The sequence below is a fragment of the Homo sapiens genome, chromosome 1, assembly GCF_000001405.40.
Source record: "Homo sapiens chromosome 1, GRCh38.p14 Primary Assembly".
NCBI classification, from domain to species: domain Eukaryota; kingdom Metazoa; phylum Chordata; class Mammalia; order Primates; family Hominidae; genus Homo; species Homo sapiens.
In genome coordinates this window covers 147119937-147121585 of record NC_000001.11, presented here as the reverse complement: position 1 = coordinate 147121585, position 1649 = coordinate 147119937, and positions in this window count along the sequence as shown.

Sequence of the window (1649 nt, the reverse complement as noted above, 5' to 3'; positions counted from 1 at the left end):
GGCCCAAGATATTTTCCTTTCACAGTCCCATAGTCCTAGAAGCCTTCCCAGCTGTACAGAAAATCACTACTTTATGCCCCAGTGCAGGAGAGGCTGCAAGGCTTGGGAAAGTGTCCCATGATTCAGAGTCAGACCTCAGGGGCTGTGAATTCTGACCCTACCTCATTCCAGGTGAATCATCTTGTCAAGTTGCTTGGTGGGCCCCTGAGCTTTTTTCCTATCTCTAAGTTGGGGAGTATCAGATGCCAGGAAGTGAGGAGACTGAAGAGTAAAGATGTGCAATCCCTGCCTAGAGCCTGGTACTGGGGACAGTTTTGTCCTTGGGATGGACCTGGCTCCTGCCCTGTAGGCAGTGACTGCAACAGCATGTCCAGCCTTCCACTGAGGCAGGTGTGTCTGTCTTTTCTCAGAGTGTGAAGAGTGCAAAGACCTCATAAAATCTAGGCTGAGGGATGAGCTGCAGTTCAAGGAGGAGAAGCTGGCAGAGAAGCTCAGGCAAGCTGGAAAGCTCAGGTGAGGGGGCCCCATTGGGGGCAGGCAGGTGGGCAGGAGTGTGAATCTCTGTGCAGCAGCTCAGCGGGGGAGAAGTAAGAGCTAAGCCGAGCCAGGGGAAGGGCAGGAATTGCCATGGCAGACACATGTCACACAAATATTTATAAAACAGAGAACAATAATAGTAATTTATGGGTTGCAGTTATTTCTCAGAGCCTCGTTTTCTCTTTTTCTAACAAGTAATTGTTGAGGTGAAATTTGCATAACACAAAATTAACCAAAGGAAAGTGAACTACCCAGCAGCATTCAGTATACTCAAGATGCTGTGCGATCACCACTGCATTTACTCTTAGTCAGAATCAACTCCTAACTGACTTGGGCTTCTCATTTCTTCAACCACTATTGCCTTCTTGACACTGTCATTCTTTTATTCTTTCATGTTTCCAGTTGTACCTGGCCACATTTCTGTGCACGGCTTTGTGTCCAGTCACTGAATAATGCACGATGTGTATTTGAACATGAAAATGTCCACAGGCAAAATGAGAAATTGAAGGAAAATCCTTTTGGAACTGATTTGGTTACAGAAGAAAAAGATGAATGGAATGTTGAAAAATCTTCCTGGAGCTCTCTCTCTCTATCGCAGTGGGGAAGACCTGTTTTTTTAAAAAAATACATTTTTCTTTCTCTTTGCAACAGGCATTTCCTTTAATATGTGCTGACTTTCTGCGTGGAGGGCTCCTTTGTTTCGATATTAGAACTGATCACTCATCTCTTTCCACTACTAAATTTTCTCTACTATCCCACCTTAGGCAATATAAAGTCTCTGTTCACTCCCAGGCCCGAGAGCCGGCCCAGTTACAGGACAAGTTACGGGAAGGGAGAGATGCCTTCCTCTTACTGAATCAGCATCTCAAGGCCCTCCTCACTCCTGATGATTCTGACAACTCCCAGGGGCAGGACCTCTGAGAGCAGGCTGGCTGAGCACCTTGTCCACAAGCTCAGCCCAGATAAGGAGACCACAGGCCCTGATGACACAAAACCCCAGGCTTGTGAGAGACTCTACACCTCCATACCTCCACAATGACAGTTACATAGGTGGTGTTTCTTTCCATTAAACATATGTGGCCATGACATGACCAGGATTTCCTGGGTAGGAA